Here is a 14,327-nt window from a genome sequence, read left to right on the forward strand (position 1 = left end):
AACAAAAAAATTAGCCAGGCGTGGTGGCGGGTGCCGTAGTCCCAGCTACTCGGGAGGCTGAGGCAGTAGAATGGCGTGAACCTGGGAGGCGGAGCTTGTAGTGAGCTGACATCATGCCACTACACTCCAGCCTGGGCGACAGAGCAAGACTCCGTCTCAAAAAAAAAAAAAGTAAAAGCCATTCGAAGCTTATGGACCATAGGGCCGAGGGTTGTGGATTGCCAATCTTTGTTCTAGGTGAACCAGACAGGCTCTGACCTCATGGAGCTGATGGCCAATTTGGGAAACTGAGTCTACAGAGAGGCACCCAGAAGAATATATAATTTCTTTCTTTTTTTTTTTTGGAGATGGAGTTTCACGCTTGTCGCCCAGGCTGGAGTGCAGTGGTGTGGTCTCGGCTCACTGCAACGTCCACCTCCTGGGTTCAAGAGATTCTGCTGCCTCAGCCTCCCGAGTAGCTGGGATTACAGGTGTCCACTAATTTTTTTGTATTTTTAATAGAGACAGGGTTTTGCCATGTTAGCCAGGCTGGTCTCAAACTGCTGACCTCAAGTGATCTGCCTGCCTTGGCCTTCCAAAGTGCTGGGATTACAGGCATGAGCCACCACACCCTGCTTTTTTGTTTTTTTTTTTTTTTGGACGGAGTTTCTCTCTTGTTGCCCAGGCTGGAGTGCAATGGTGCGATCTCAGCTCACTGCAACCTCCGCCTCCCGGGTTCAAGAGGTTCTCCTGCCTCAGTCTCCCAAGTAGCTGGGATTACAGGCATGAGCCACCGTGCCTGGCTAATTCTGTATTTTCAGTAGAGACGGGGTTTCTCCATGGTGGTCAGGCTGGTCTTGAACTCCCGATCTCAGGTGATCTGCCCACCTCGGCCTCCCAAAGTGCTGGGATTACAGGCATAAACCACCACACCCGGCCTTTTTTTTTTTTTTTTTTTGAGACGGAGTCTCGTTCTGTTGCCCTGGCTGGAATGCAGTGGTATGATCCCAGCTCCCTGCAACCTCTGCCTCCCGGGTTCAAGCGATTCTCCTGCCTCAGCAAAAGTAGCTGAGACCACAGGTGCCCGCCACCACGCCCGGGTCATTTTTGTATTTTTAGTAGAGAGGGGGTTTCACCATGTTGGCCACTCTGGTGTTTTGTTTTGTTTTGTTTTGATACAGGGTCTCACTCTTGTGTCCCAGGCTGGAGTGCAGTAGCCCCATCTCCGCTCACTGCAACATCTGCCTCCTGGGCTCAAGTGATCCTCTCAGCCTCCCGAGTAGCTGGGATTACAGGCATGTGCCACCACACCCATCTAATTTTTTGTATTTTTAGTAGAGATGGGGTTTCGCCATGTTATCTAGGCTGGTCTCGAACTCCTGAGCTCAAGCGGTCCACCTGCCTTGGCCTCCCAAGTACTGGGATTACCGGCAGGAGCTGCCGCACCTGGCCAGAACATACAATTTCAAGTTGTGGCTCAAGAGAAGGTACCTGGCTTGGTCTGAGGAGTCAGGAGAAGTCTCCCTGAGGAGCTGACGTCTGAATTGAAACGGAGAGGATGCTCAGGGGTTGGCCAAGGAGGCCAGAGAGGGAAAAGGGTTTTCAGTAGTCAGCAAGGTGGTGGGAACACACGTTTTTATAAATTCTGGTGGCCACTTCCATTTCATCTGCAAAGTAAGGATAAAGATATGGCTGGGTGAGGTGGCTCACATCTATAATCCCAGCGCTTTGGGAGGCCGAGGAGGGCAGATCACTAGAGGCCAGGAGTTTGAGACCAGCCTGGCCAACGTGGCGAAACCCGCTCTCTACTAAAAATACAAAATTAGCCAGGCATGGTGGCGCGCCTGTAATCCCAGCTACTTGGGAGGGTGAGGCAGGAGAATCACTAGAGCCTGTGAGGCAGAGGGTGCAATGAACCTAGATCACGCCCCTGCACTCCAGCCTGGGCGACAGAGCAAGACTCCATCTCAAAAAAAGAAGAAGAAAAAAAAGATATCCCTTGGGTAGGGTTAGCTTAACGGGCTTACAGCAGTGCCTGGTATCCTGTAGGCATTTCATGAATGCGTATACCTGGCCTGGAATGGTGCAGGCACTGCAGTAAGGCCTGATTGACACCTGATGGACAGCAGGCACTCCATTAATCTCTGGTCCGTGCCTGGCATATAGAATGTGTCCCATTAATGCCTGATACACAGTAGGTGTCCCATTAACGCTTTTTAATTTTTTTTTTTGAGACAGAGTCTCGCTCTGTCGCCCAGGCTGGAGTGCAGTGGCATGATCTCAGCTCACTGCAAGTTCCGTCTCCCGGGTTCACGCCATTCTCCTGCCTCAGCCTCCCGAGTAGCTGGGACTACAGGCGCCCGCCACCACGCCCGGCTAATTTTTTGTATTTTTAGTAGAGACGGGGTTTCACCGTGTCAGCCAGGATAGTCTCGATCTCCTGACCTCGTGATCCACCCGCCTCGGCCTCCCAAAGTGCTGGGATTACAGGCGTGAGCCACCGCGCCCGGCCCTCTTTTTTTTTTTTTTTCTTTGGAGACGGAGTTTCGTTCTTGTTGCCCAGGCTGGAGTGCAATGGCGTGATCTCGGCTCACTGCAACCTCCGCCTCCTGGGTTCAAGTGATTCTCCTGCCTCAGCCTCCCGAGTAGCTGGGATTACGGGCGTGCACCACCACGCCGGGCTAATTTTGTAGTTTTAGTAGAGACGGCGTTTCTCCCTGTTGGTCAGGCTGGTCTCGAACTCCAGACCTCAGGTGATCCGCCCGCCTCGGCCTTCCAAAGTGCTGGGATTACAGGCGTGAGCCACCGCGCCCGACCTCCATTAACGCTTTTTAATGGATGAGTGAAGGTTCCTGTCAGGCAATGTCAGGGCGCTTCCCGGGGGCAGCGACTGCTGCCCAGGCACCTGGAGACCCAGAGAGCGCAGCGGCCGCGTGCGCGCCTCCGCCACCGCGCCTGGGCCGAGCCGAGCGGGACCGAGCGGGGCCGAACGGAGCCGAGCGGAGCCGAGCCTGGCCGGGCCGAGTCCGCCACATTCCCACAATCCCGGGCGGCCCCGCCCCGGCTCCCGGCTGCGCGTCCCCCTTCCCACGTCGGCGCAACCAAACCCGCGGGCCCCCCGCCCTCGCCCCGCCCCGCCCCTTTCGCGCCCGCCGACGCCCCGCCCAGGCCGCTAGTCCCGCCCCCATGGTGGGCGCGCTTGGCCGCCGGCCCCTCCCATTGGCCGCACCGTCTGCCCGTCGCGGGCTGCGCTCCCAGCCTGCTAGGTTGTCCGGCGCTGTCGCTCGGTTGCGGCGGCTGCGGTTGGCGGTGGCTGCGGCGGCGGCGCGGGCTGAGTGCGGCCGCGCGGGAGTCCGCGGCTGGCGCGGCCCGAGCGGGGACCCGGCGGCTCGCCAGGCGGCGGCCGAGGCGGGGCGGGCCGGCCCGGGGCCGAGGGCCGGTGGCCGAGGCCGGAGGGCCGCGGCGGGCGGCGGCCGAGGCGGCTCCGGCCAGGGCCGGGCCGGGGGCCGGGGGGCGGCGGCGGGCAGGCGGCCGCGTCGGCCGGGGCCGGGACGATGACTCTGGAGTCCATGATGGCGTGTTGCCTGAGCGATGAGGTGAAGGAGTCCAAGCGGATCAACGCCGAGATCGAGAAGCAGCTGCGGCGGGACAAGCGCGACGCCCGGCGCGAGCTCAAGCTGCTGCTGCTCGGTGAGTGCGGCCCCCGGGCCTGCCGGCTGCGGGCCCTGCCCTGCCTGTGCCTGCCCTGCCTGTCCGGGTCGGGCCGGGACCCTCCGGGGTCAGCCCTGCCTGTGCCGTCCGGGTCGCGAGACCCTCCGGGGTCAGCCCTGCCTGTGCCTTCCCTGCCTGTCCGGGTCGCGGGACCCTCGAGTGTCAGCCCTGCCTGTGCCTTCACTGCCTGTCCGGGTCGGGGCGGGGCCCTCCGGGATCAGCCCTGCCTGTGTCGTCTGGGTCGGCTCGGGACCCTCTGGGGTCAGCCCTGCCTTTGCTGTCTAGGTCGGCACCTGGGACCCTCCGGGGTCAGCTGCGGGCCCCTGATTTCTTTGGGGTCAGCCCCTGCCTTAACTGTTCATGTTGGCACCTGGGACTCTCCGGTGTCAGCCTGTGTCTGTCCTGTCTGGATCAGGCCCCCGATCACTCCTAGGTCAGCTCCCAGCTTCTGCTGTCTACATTGGGCCTCCAGGACTCTTCAGGATTTGCCCTCTGTTCCTTCTCAAGGGACCAGTCCCTCCCTGCACAGGGACCTTCTGACCTTACCCCACCGGAGTACCCACCCCTCGCTACCCCTTCAGGGCCAGACCTTTGGGCTGTAACCCACAGGGCACACTCACCCCTCACTGCTCAGGGCCCCGCGTTGACCCTTCCCTCCAGGCAGAGCCCTGTACACTCCATGCAGGCCCTGTACCCTCCATGCAGGCCCTGTACACCCCCCCATCCCCCCGAAGACTCCTCCGTGTCCCCTATCCCCACATTCCCTTCAGGGCCATTCTCCTGCCTTCCTGTTCCGGGAAACCCCGTACTCCTCTTGGCTGGAATGCACCCTGTGGGAAAAAGACAGTCTTTCCTCTCCTCAGGGTTCCGCTCAGCTGAGGGTGGGGCGGTTGACACCTGAGGGAGCCTTTGCTTGTTGTCCCAAGCAGCTATCTCGGCAGCCTCCCCCGCCCCCTTCCTTAGAGTCCTGGTGGGAGCCACGCTGAGTCCTCGTTGAGAGCAGCCCCCCACCTGCCGGCTCCTCCCCACCGTCCTGGAGAAGGTTTGCTGGTGAACCTCCTTCTCCCCAAGGCACACCTGCTGCAGGGAGCCAGTCGGGCCAGCTGTAAAGTGTTGTCACTCCAAATAAGGGCCCCTTCAGTGGTTTACAAAACAGAAGCTCTTGCCCTGCCCCGCCCCTGCCCTCCCGAGCTCCTAGGTTAGCTCCTGGGCCGGGGGCGGGGCGGTGGGGAAGGTCGGAAATGCGTGAGAGGCAGCGGTGACGGAGGAGGGGGCGTGCTGGTGGCGGTGGCTCTTGGGGAGGAGGCAGGTCGCATGTTGTGTGGGGAACACGTTGCCTCTCCTGCCGTGAGCCTCTTAGGGCCCTCCGTGTCCCGGGTTACAGAGGTGCCTTGGATGAAACGCCTTCCTGATTTTTTTCCCCAAACTTGTGTTTTGATTTACCTAAGGGTTCTAAAATGGGCCATCTTTCCAGGGGGCCGCGGGTAGGCAGAGCCGTGGTCCTCACGTTTGGAGGAAATGTGCAGTGCGGCCCGCGTGGTGGCACTTTGCACAGAGTGGCACTGGCTGGCTTTTGTAGTGGGTCGTGGACTTTGTTTGGATGGAGGGGAGTTAGGAATTACTGGTGTCATAAAGATCTTACCAGATGGCCTTGCCCTGTGGCTCTGTGACCTCCAGAACCCCCGCCGCCATCCCTGCATGCACCCGGTCTTCTGTGCCTGCACTTTGGACTTGAGATTGACACGGGGTTCAAGGACGAAGGTCAGGGGCTCCCGTGTCTGCCGCCTTGGCTGCTTGGAGCAAGTCTGGAAGTGATGCGGCCCTTCCCGCATCCTCTGTCCAGTGCCCGCCTGTGGCCCGGGGGTGTCTGCTGCAGGAGCACCTGTGTCTGCAGTCCCACCCCCTCCCACTCTGTGAGCCTGAAAGTTGACCCCTATCAGCCTGTAAGACGGGAGGTTGCTGTCAGGCTCAGGGCCAGGCGTGGCAGATAGGACAGTGAGGAAGATGTGAGCTCACGTGCGACCCAAGGAGGACTGGTGTCAGTGCCACGCAGAGAGCCGGGGCTGTCAGGGGGTTGGGAGGGCTTCACACCCAAGGTGTTGGAGCCAGGGACCCCTTTGGGAATCTGATGCGACAGACCCTCAGAAAACTTCCCGTCCAAGCAACCTTGCATCCCAGCTGGAGGGCCCCTTGCTGGGAGGACTTTGACCACCTGAGGTCCAGGGGCTGGGGCCTCAGGGTGCAGGGGAGGGGACCTCTGTCAGGCTCCCTGCCTGCTTGTGGGAACTCATTCCACTCTCCCAGTAGGCCAGCCCCGAGCTTGCGATTGCCCCCGTTTTTCAGGGAGCAGCTAGAGGGTGGGGCCGAGGCTCCCCGGAAGGAAGGGGCTGTTGGGCTGCAGCAGGTGGCTATGGCGCCTGCGGCCCACGGAATGTTCAGAGACCTCTGGGTGGAGGTCCTGGCACTCCGCAGGAGGCCCAGCCAAGCTGGGTCTGCCTCTCCCTAGAATTCTTTCCTCCCCTGCCCCTTAGCAGTGGGGGCTCCATCCCTCCTCCCCCATGGCTCCCGTACAGCGTTGTGGAGTGGATGTCGGGGAGGGAGGCAGGGGCCTGCCACCACACCCCTGTGGCATCTGGGGCCCAGGAGGGTCTCGTTTATGTGGGTGGTGCTGGTTTCTTCCAGGCTCTGGGGCAGCAGGGCTCCAGGGCCCTGCCCTGACTCCTGGGTTTGCAACCAGGTGGAGCATGTTCTGGAAGAACGCCGCGTCTGCTCGCTCTCATCCACTGCCTCCCTGGGGCTGCACACGGCCTGTGAGGTCGGTCAGCCTGGCGAGGACATTCCGTGCCCCGTTTTCGGGGTGGGGGGGACCTTACGGAGCCCTAGAGCTGGACGGGGCTCCGGCTGCCGTGCCGCCTCTCCCGCGGCGGCTAAAATGTGCTGTTCACGCCTCAGATGGGCCTCTCCGTTACGTACAACAGGTCTCCCCGGGGCCCTGTGCACATTGGTCCGGGTTGGTCTCTGGGGTGGGGCTGCCCTGGGCACTGCAGGGTGCTGAGCAGTGTCCGAGGCCTCCACCCACTCCATGCCAGGAGCTCCCCCAAGTCGTGATAACCACAGATGTCTCTAGACAGTGCCCATTGTCCCTTGGGGGGCACGTTGCCCCCATTTGAGACCCTTTACTGTGTGGTAGCGTACAACGTAAAATGCTCGTGGCAAAGCTGAGGGATAATGAGTGCAAATTATTTTGTCAGAAGTTTCCATGAGTGCTTATAGAGTATTTTTCTAAGCACCGTCAAAGCCGTGTGTGTGTGAATTCACTACTCAGTGTATGCATGAATGTGAATGCATGTATTGTTTTATACCCGTGGTATTCCAGGTTTGTCCCTATGCACACTTCTGTCGATGCTGGTGACAGCTGTGGATGGGTACAGGAGTGGCAAGCACGTACTGCGCACTTAGTGCACACGCTGCTCCCGCCTCCGTCCGCGCCGCCGCCATCCTGGGGTCCGCCCTGTGGCCTGGAGAGCTCTTGCAGGCCCTGCCAGCAGCTCTTGGATCTGGGTTCCCATTCCCCAGGCCCGCTGGGCTTCTGCCTATCACGGGCAGCCCTCGGCTGTTAGGTTTCCGTCTCACTGGTAAACTGTGGAGGGGACCCCCGTATAGTTCTTTGTGGCAGGTTTGTGGTTGGAAACGTGGGGACTTCCATGGGAATGCCTGTTCCCAGGGCCTGAGGCTGCTAGCGAGGCTGAGCCGGAGTGGCTCCAGGCTTTCTAAATAAAGCAGGATGGTTAGTTCCGGAGGCTTCCTGTCCGGCCTGCGCCAGCCCCCACGGGGCAGTGACAAGGCCCGGGATCCAGCATGGGGTGCGGTGGCCCCACGGGAAGGGCCGGGCCTCTGTTGGCCCAGTGTTGGGAGGCGTGGAGCGTGGCCTCTGGCGCCTGGCAGGGTGGCTGTGCCGTGTCCCAGAAGACTCTGGGAGCAGGAAGCGCCCTTGGATGGCCTCGTCCAACCTTGACTTCCCAAGCCCGAGCCCAGGCCAGGGAGACGTGGGGACTTGGTCCGGGCCTGCTCTCACGTCCTTTGTGTTTACATGTAATCAGTTATGATGATTGTGGCTGAAAGGGTCTGCTTTTCCCGGGCATGGTCCGGGAAGCTCCGTTCCACAGCTGTGAGCTCCGTGGAGCTTCCTCCCGAGCCTCCTGCCCGGCTCTGCCGGTGCTGTAGTGAGAGTGGAGGAAGTGCTTTCCTCCGAGATTTAACCACGAGAGGTTTCACTTTCTGAGTCTTGTGGTGGAGCCTGTCTCTGTCTGGGACCTGGACCCTGGGCAGCACGGGGAGGACGCCGTGGCATCAGGAGGTTGGAGAGGTGTGTGGTGGAGTCGGACGGATCTTAGAGGGGCGCTCGCGGGGCCTGCTCGGCCCTACCCTGTAGACAGCTGGGACCCAGCGCCCCTTCTGGGTCCCCAGCAGGGCTGTGTTCTCCCCACTGGGCACCCCAGCTTGTGCGTGGAGGATGGGAAGCCTTGTATGGCTTGCCCACCTGGGTGACTGAGAGCGGTGGATGCGATTAGGGGCGGCCAGGGGCTCTGGGAAGGCCCACGTGCAGGGTCATTATCTGGCAGAAATTAAGTCCTTTCGCAGAACCGGGATCCTAAGTGCCGGTTTGCTGGCGTGCAGGTGGTTGCAGGTGCATGTAGCTCCTGCCGCCAGGCCCTGTGTGGAGCATCCCGCCCGGGGGGCCTCCCACCATGTCTGTCATCTGTAGGGCACCTGGCAGGTCTTAGAATTGGCTGCCCTGGATCCAGACTCTCGCTGTCATCTGGGCCTGGCCACATCCCTCCCCTGCCATCAAGATGTCTGTGGTCCAGTCTCCCACCCTCCATCCCCACTCCCTGCCTCTGGGTCAGAAGCCTCCGATGGTCTCTGCTGTGGGGGTTCCTGGTCCAGCCTGGCCTCCCGCAGTCTGCCGACAGGCGCTTTCAGGACAGCACTGGTGGGTGGGTCTTCGGGCCACCTGCAGGGCCTGGGAGCAGTGTGGTGTCCGGATCAGGTACGTGGCCTGGGGAGACTCAGGTTCAGAGCCTACCTCTGCCTCTTGTAACTGTGGGACTTCAGGTCTGTGCCTCAGTTTCCTCAGGGGGCGGTGGGGTGAGGACTCGGTGGTGATCCCCATCCTGCCGCACGTGGGGACCCACGGAATGCTGGCTGCTGCTTCCGCTGCCGGTGTGGTGATATCTTGTCGCGTCCACAGCACCTGGCGTGTGTGGCACACATTGGGTGCTCTGAGAAACTGCTCCATGGGGGATCCTGCCCTGGGATCTGGGATCTGGGATCTGCCCACAGACACCTTGATCAGGATTCCCCAGCCTCGGCTCCGTGGGTGTTTTACACTGGATCGTTCTCTGGGGTGGAGCTGTCTTGGGCACTGCAGGGTACTGAGCAGCGTCCCTGGCCTCCACCCACACCAGACCAGGAGCACCCCCAAGTTGTGACAACCACAGAAGTCCCCAGACATCGCCTAGTGTCCCTGGGAGCAGGACCCCTGACCCGTGTGTCTTAGCAGCCCCCTTCCCTTCTCGTCGCCATCGTCAGCTGCGTGTCCTTGGTCCCCTGCTTCCCTGCCCATGTCATTGAGCTGTGCAGGTCTCAGAGATGCTTGGCGAGTGACCGTCATTGGCTGACTGAAGGCAGATCACGCAGGGAAGTGGAGAGGAGTGGCCCGACACCTCCCCAATGCCCTGCAGGCTGGTCTGGTGCACGCCAGGGGTCTCTGCTGGGGCAGGCTCGGTTGCCACCTGCCTGTGGGCCTGTGCACTGGGCAGAAGGGGTCTCCGGGGACAGTGCGCAGCTGGCTCTCAGAAGCTTCTTTCTGAGTCCTGCCTGTGGCCTGGGCTGCCCTGGGCTGGCCAGCACGGGGCAGTGGGGGCACACTCTGGAGGGAGCCAGGGGCGAGTCACTTCCCTCTCCCGGCCTCAGTTTCCCCATCGGTCACGTGGGAAGGCTGTCCCTCCCCCTGTAGGATTGTGGAAGGATTAAATGAGCTGAGGCCAGTGCGGCAGACAGCGGGGAGGGAGCCCTCTTGTCCCCTGTGGCTGCCCTTCCTGCTGGCTGCTTTGCACCGAAAAGCTGCGGAGTAACCCTGGGCGGTGGTGCTCCCTGGATGGCGTCCACATGGGGACCCCAAGGCCTGGGAGGCTCCAGGAGGGACGGTGCTGGCCCAGGTTTCTGTCCCTGTCTGACCTCGGAGTTGGTGTTCTGGGTACCGCACCGTCCGGTGGCCCAGGCTCCGTTTTCTCTTCTGTCAAACTGTGTGGTCACCCTGATGTTTCAGGGGCCCTGCAGGGACGGAGTGGGGTGGGGGGCTGAAGGGTGTGGTCAAACTGGAGGGCGCTGTGTCTGTTGCTATTGTTAACCGTGTCCACACTGATGGGTGCTGGGCCCCGCCACCGAGCGGGACTTGTGCGGCCTGCAGAGATGTGGCTGTTCTGTTGCCTGTCTTAATCCCCAGGGACTGTGGGGCCAGGTCCACACTGTGGGATGAGTGCAGCCCCCACGGCTGTGGTGGGGCTGGGTCCACGCTGTGGGATGAATGCAGCCCCCAGGGACTGTGGGGCCGGGTCCACGCTGTGGGATGAATGAAGCAGCCTTTTCTCCAGCCACACTGGTTTGCTCGGCCTTAGTCCCACTGGATGCGGCGAGGGTTGACCGGTCAGGCCCTTGCTGGTGGCCTGGGTAGATGTCTGGAGAGGGGGCCTGGGCTCCGGACTCCTGCCCTTCCCCCATCAGTGATCCTATCCCACACTCTTTGGCGATGGTCAGTGAGCTGGGCAGGGGCGGGGGTCTGTCCCTGTCCCTCAGGTGGAGATGTCCAGGCCAGTGCCCACAACTGGGTTAGATGGGCTGCACAAGGCTGGGGACCAGTCTCCCAGGCTGTCGGGGGGCTTCAGTAATGGCTGTGGGAAGACCCAGCACGTGAGGAGACGGGAGCTTAGAAATTTTGTATGGCCAGGTGCGGTGGCTCATGCCTGTAATCCAAGTACTTTGAGAGGCCGAGTCAGGCAGATCACTCAAGTCCAGGAGTTCGAGACCAGCCTGGGCAACATGACGAGACCCCTGTCTCTACTAAAAATGCAAAAAATTAGCCAGACTTGGTGATGTGCACCTGTAGTCCCAGCTACCTGGGTGGCTAAGGTGGGAGGATCACTTGAGTCCAGGAGGCAGAGGTTGCAGTGAGCCGAGATTGCACCACTGCACTCCAGCCTGGGCGACCGAGGGAGAGGTTCTGTCTCAAAAACAAACAAACAAACAAAACAAAACAAACAAAAAAAAAACGTAGAAAACATGAGTGAGTGACACCATCCGCTTCCAGTGGAGGGGTGGGGTCACTCCCACTTGGGAGCCAGTCTGCACGGAAGCCTCAGTGGGAACAGAACAAGGTGGCATGGCCCCTGACCGGCGAGGGGCAGTTAGTATCTGCACCTTTGAGGCACCTGGGGACTCTGCTGCTGTGGAGATGGGATTGGGTTCCAGTCCAGAGGCTGTCCTGCCATCGCTGCCCCTGGCTGTCATGCCCCACCTGGGGTAGTGAGTTTCGGGGCAGCTCTTTCTTGAGCCTCAGCAGCGGGGTGAGCCGGGTGCACTTCCTCTCTCAGGGCGCCCCCTTGTCTTCTTGCCTCCCTGCCTGAGGGTGCGTGCTGGAGCAGAAGAGCACGTCCTGGGCTGCCTGCCGGGGATAAGCTGCGGAGCCAGGAGACCGAAGTCTCTTCAGGCCCTGCCATTAGGGGTCGTGTGACTTCAGGGAGGCAGCTTGTCCTCTCCGTGCCTCAGTTTCCCCTCCAGTCAATCAGGCGCTGAGGTGCTGTCTACCTCCTGGGGTTCTGAGACTGAAGCGAAGCAGGCATGAGGCCCCTTGTGAAGCTGGATGAGGGGCGTCCGTCCTCCGCTGCAGGAGGGCTGCCCCTCCTCGGGCCCCTGCGTCAGGTTGGTGCCTGGCTCTGACCCCACACCCACCAGTACAGCTCTTGGTCAGGGTTAGATTTCCTGGCTGTTTCCAAGAGCCAAGATCACAGGCACACGCATGCACACGCGTGGGCTGCCACCACCCGCCTTCTCATGGGTGCTGACAAACGGTCATGTGTATCCCCCAGGTGGGGCCCTGTGGCTCTGGCCTTGCTCCCGGTGTGTGCACTGGCCTGGCCTCCCCGCAGCCTGGTGGGGGCTTCCTGGCTTCTCGGCCCACATCTCACAGTCTTGGGCACTGTGGGGCTCGGCTCAGGCGTCGTAGACGGGAAGCAGCCTGGAACCCTGGAAGTCTGACTCCCAGGTGTCGGCTCCCAGGTCTCAGCCCTGCCACTGGGGTCATGGGTTACTTGAATCTTTATATACTTTTTATTTGTTATTTATTTATTTATTTATTTATTTTTGAGAGAGAGTCTCACTCTGTTGCCCAGGCTGGAGTGCAGTGGTGCAGTCTTGGCTCACTGCAACCTCTGCCTCCTGGTTCAAGTGATTCTCCTGCCTCAGCCTCCCGAGAAGCTGGGATTACAGGCGCATGCCACCACACCCGGCTAATTTTTGTATTTTTAGTGGAGATGTGGTTTCACTATGTTGGCCAGGCTGGTCTCCAACTTCTGACCTCAGGTGATCCGCTTGCCTTGGCCTCCCAAAGTGCTGGGATTACAGGCGTGAGCCACTGCGCCCGGCCTTGAATCTTTTTTTTTTTTTTTTTTTTTTTTTTTTTTTGAGACAAGGTCTCACTTGTCACCCAGGCTGGAGTGCAGTGGTAGAATGTTTGCTCACCTCTGTCTCTTGGGTTCAAGCGTTTCTCCTGCCTCAGCCTCCTGAGTAGCTGGGATTACAAGCGCCCACTGCCACACCCAGCTAATTTTTTTTTTTGTAAATTTTTTTTTTTTGAGACAAGAGTCTTGCTCTGTCGCCTAGGCTGGAGTGCAGTGGCACGATCTCAGCTCACCACAAGCTCCGCCTCCTGATTCACGCCATTCTCCTGCCTCAGCTTTCAGGCGCCTGCCACCATGCCCGGCTAATTTTTTGTAGTTTTAGTGGAGACGCGGTTTCACCGTGTTAGCCAGGATGGTCTCGATCTCCTGACCTCGTGATCCGCCCACCTTGGCCTCCCAAAGTGCCGGGATTACAGGTGTGAGCCACCATGCCTGGCCATTTTTGTAAATTTTTTGGTAGAGACGGGGTTTCACCATGTTGGCTAGGCTGGTCTTGAACTCCTGACCTCAAATGATCCACCTGCCTCGGCCTCAAAGTGCTGGGATTACAGGCGTGAGCCACCGCGCCCGGCTTTGAATCTTGAGCATCGGATGAGCCCCCAGCTCCTGCTGTCAGGGCTGCGCCCTCTTGTGGCGCTTGGAGCCTCCTTTTCTTCCGTTTTCCTTTCCCACCGGGGAAAAGGAAGCTGGGGCACGGACTTCGTTCCTCCTGGTTGGCCTCTCCAGATCTTGGCCAGCGGGTCCAGTCGGGAGGGTGGTTTTCTCCTCTGGAAGCTGGCTCAGTGGGAGCAGTGGGCGGACTCTGGCCCCTCCTAGTGGTGGCGTGCTGAGTGTACCTGAGGATGTACCTCCTGCAGGCTCCCTAGCGTCTGGGGTCCACTGTGGGGCGGCCTGTGGCAGGCCCACCAGGAACCATGCTTGCACAGGCAAAGCACCTTGCTTGTGGTTGTGTGGGGGGCTCCCTCAGGTGTGGGAGATGTGGGCCCCATTCTCCCAGGAGCCATGGCTGGTGACATGCAGTCAGGTCCATCCTGACGGGCACTGGAGTGCGGGGGACCCAATGGGGACATGAGGGATCCAGCACTGTGGACCAGGGCCAGGTTCATTTGGTTCGCTCAGGAAACATGTACACAGCGCCTTCTGCATAGGGGCTAGGGATGCAGGTGGGCAGGGCAGCCACAGCCCCTGCGCTCAGGAAGCTGGCGAGGCAGGCTGCAGACGGGCACTGCCACACCTCACTGAGGAGGGAATGGCAGAGCCACCCTCAAAGGGCCTGTGCTGTGGGGGTGCTGGGCGCTTCCTGAACGCCGGGCTCTTGGATTTCTGCAGTGGGGGTTCTCCGGGCGTTTGGGAAGGGGAAGGACCTGATGGAAGGGGTAGTTTATATTTAACTCTGGTGCTGAAGCAAGGGTCGCACACAGCTGCCAGTGCCCACGACGGCCTCCTGGGAGGCTGAGCTCACCAGCTCCAGACCCAGTCTGAGGCAGGAACCTGGGGGTCTCACAGCGGGACCGGTGGTGGGTGTGGCCTCGTGGCAGGGAGGGAGGGTGGGAGGGGTGCATGTGAAGTTGGGTTTGACTCGTCACCCGTGGAGTGCGTGCTCCCCTGCCACAGGCAGGGGCCAGGCAGCATCTGTCCTGCAGGACCCTCCCAGCTGCCCTTTCATGGCCGGACCCCTGGCTGGATCCCTGGCTTCCTGCAGTGTTCTCTTTTCCTAACATTTTGTCACCGTCTCAGTCAGCTCGGGCTGCTGTGACAATACTGCAGGCACAGTGGCTTGTAAACTACCCGAGTTTGTCTCATGGTTCTGGAGGCTGGACGTCCAAGATCAAGGTTCTGTGGATTTGGGGGGTTGGGGGGAAGGGGGGGTTGTGCTTCCTGGTACATAGACAGCGGCGC

At 60.5% G+C, this 14,327-nt stretch overlaps 1 protein-coding gene across 1 annotated transcript in view, besides 11 other annotated features; it reads left to right on the top strand.

Annotated features, from left to right (window-relative positions):
- Positions 2,913-3,162: a silencer, noted in NCBI's record as "silent region_9825". NCBI's record gives its function as "represses an Ori minimal core promoter by ATAC-STARR-seq in GM12878 lymphoblastoid cells {active_cell/tissue: GM12878}" and the evidence as "EXISTENCE:reporter gene assay evidence [ECO:0000049][PMID:35858748]".
- Positions 2,913-4,036: a biological region, named in NCBI's record as "H3K27ac-H3K4me1 hESC enhancer GRCh37_chr19:3094165-3095152".
- Positions 3,049-4,036: an enhancer, noted in NCBI's record as "H3K27ac-H3K4me1 hESC enhancer chr19:3094165-3095152 (GRCh37/hg19 assembly coordinates)". NCBI's record gives its function as "activates a minimal SCP1, AML or CMV promoter by ChIP-STARR-seq in primed H9 embryonic stem cells {active_cell/tissue: H9 hESC(primed)}" and the evidence as "EXISTENCE:reporter gene assay evidence [ECO:0000049][PMID:30033119]".
- Positions 3,183-3,302: a silencer, noted in NCBI's record as "silent region_9826". NCBI's record gives its function as "represses an Ori minimal core promoter by ATAC-STARR-seq in GM12878 lymphoblastoid cells {active_cell/tissue: GM12878}" and the evidence as "EXISTENCE:reporter gene assay evidence [ECO:0000049][PMID:35858748]".
- GNA11 (G protein subunit alpha 11) overlaps positions 3,244-14,327 on the top strand; it is a 29,638-nt gene continuing 18,554 nt past the window's right edge. Inside the window, exon 1 of the mRNA NM_002067.5 lies at positions 3,244-3,669. Coding sequence (NP_002058.2) covers positions 3,534-3,669 — 136 coding nt within the window. The 5' untranslated portion in view covers positions 3,244-3,533. The remainder of the gene's footprint in view (positions 3,670-14,327) is intronic.
- Positions 3,623-3,752: a silencer, noted in NCBI's record as "silent region_9827". NCBI's record gives its function as "represses an Ori minimal core promoter by ATAC-STARR-seq in GM12878 lymphoblastoid cells {active_cell/tissue: GM12878}" and the evidence as "EXISTENCE:reporter gene assay evidence [ECO:0000049][PMID:35858748]".
- Positions 4,037-5,022: an enhancer, noted in NCBI's record as "H3K27ac-H3K4me1 hESC enhancer chr19:3095153-3096138 (GRCh37/hg19 assembly coordinates)". NCBI's record gives its function as "activates a minimal SCP1, AML or CMV promoter by ChIP-STARR-seq in naive H9 embryonic stem cells {active_cell/tissue: H9 hESC(naive)}" and the evidence as "EXISTENCE:reporter gene assay evidence [ECO:0000049][PMID:30033119]".
- Positions 4,907-4,996: a silencer, noted in NCBI's record as "silent region_9828". NCBI's record gives its function as "represses an Ori minimal core promoter by ATAC-STARR-seq in GM12878 lymphoblastoid cells {active_cell/tissue: GM12878}" and the evidence as "EXISTENCE:reporter gene assay evidence [ECO:0000049][PMID:35858748]".
- Positions 5,023-6,010: an enhancer, noted in NCBI's record as "H3K4me1 hESC enhancer chr19:3096139-3097126 (GRCh37/hg19 assembly coordinates)". NCBI's record gives its function as "activates a minimal SCP1, AML or CMV promoter by ChIP-STARR-seq in naive H9 embryonic stem cells {active_cell/tissue: H9 hESC(naive)}" and the evidence as "EXISTENCE:reporter gene assay evidence [ECO:0000049][PMID:30033119]".
- Positions 12,333-12,627: a silencer, noted in NCBI's record as "tiled region #3290; K562 Repressive non-DNase unmatched - State 23:Low". NCBI's record gives its function as "represses a minimal TATA promoter and a strong SV40 promoter by Sharpr-MPRA in K562 cells {active_cell/tissue: K562}" and the evidence as "EXISTENCE:reporter gene assay evidence [ECO:0000049][PMID:27701403]".
- Positions 13,019-13,068: a silencer, noted in NCBI's record as "silent region_9829". NCBI's record gives its function as "represses an Ori minimal core promoter by ATAC-STARR-seq in GM12878 lymphoblastoid cells {active_cell/tissue: GM12878}" and the evidence as "EXISTENCE:reporter gene assay evidence [ECO:0000049][PMID:35858748]".
- Positions 13,289-13,338: a silencer, noted in NCBI's record as "silent region_9830". NCBI's record gives its function as "represses an Ori minimal core promoter by ATAC-STARR-seq in GM12878 lymphoblastoid cells {active_cell/tissue: GM12878}" and the evidence as "EXISTENCE:reporter gene assay evidence [ECO:0000049][PMID:35858748]".

The sequence above is a fragment of the Homo sapiens genome, chromosome 19, assembly GCF_000001405.40.
Source record: "Homo sapiens chromosome 19, GRCh38.p14 Primary Assembly".
Taxonomy (NCBI): Eukaryota; Metazoa; Chordata; class Mammalia; order Primates; family Hominidae; genus Homo; species Homo sapiens.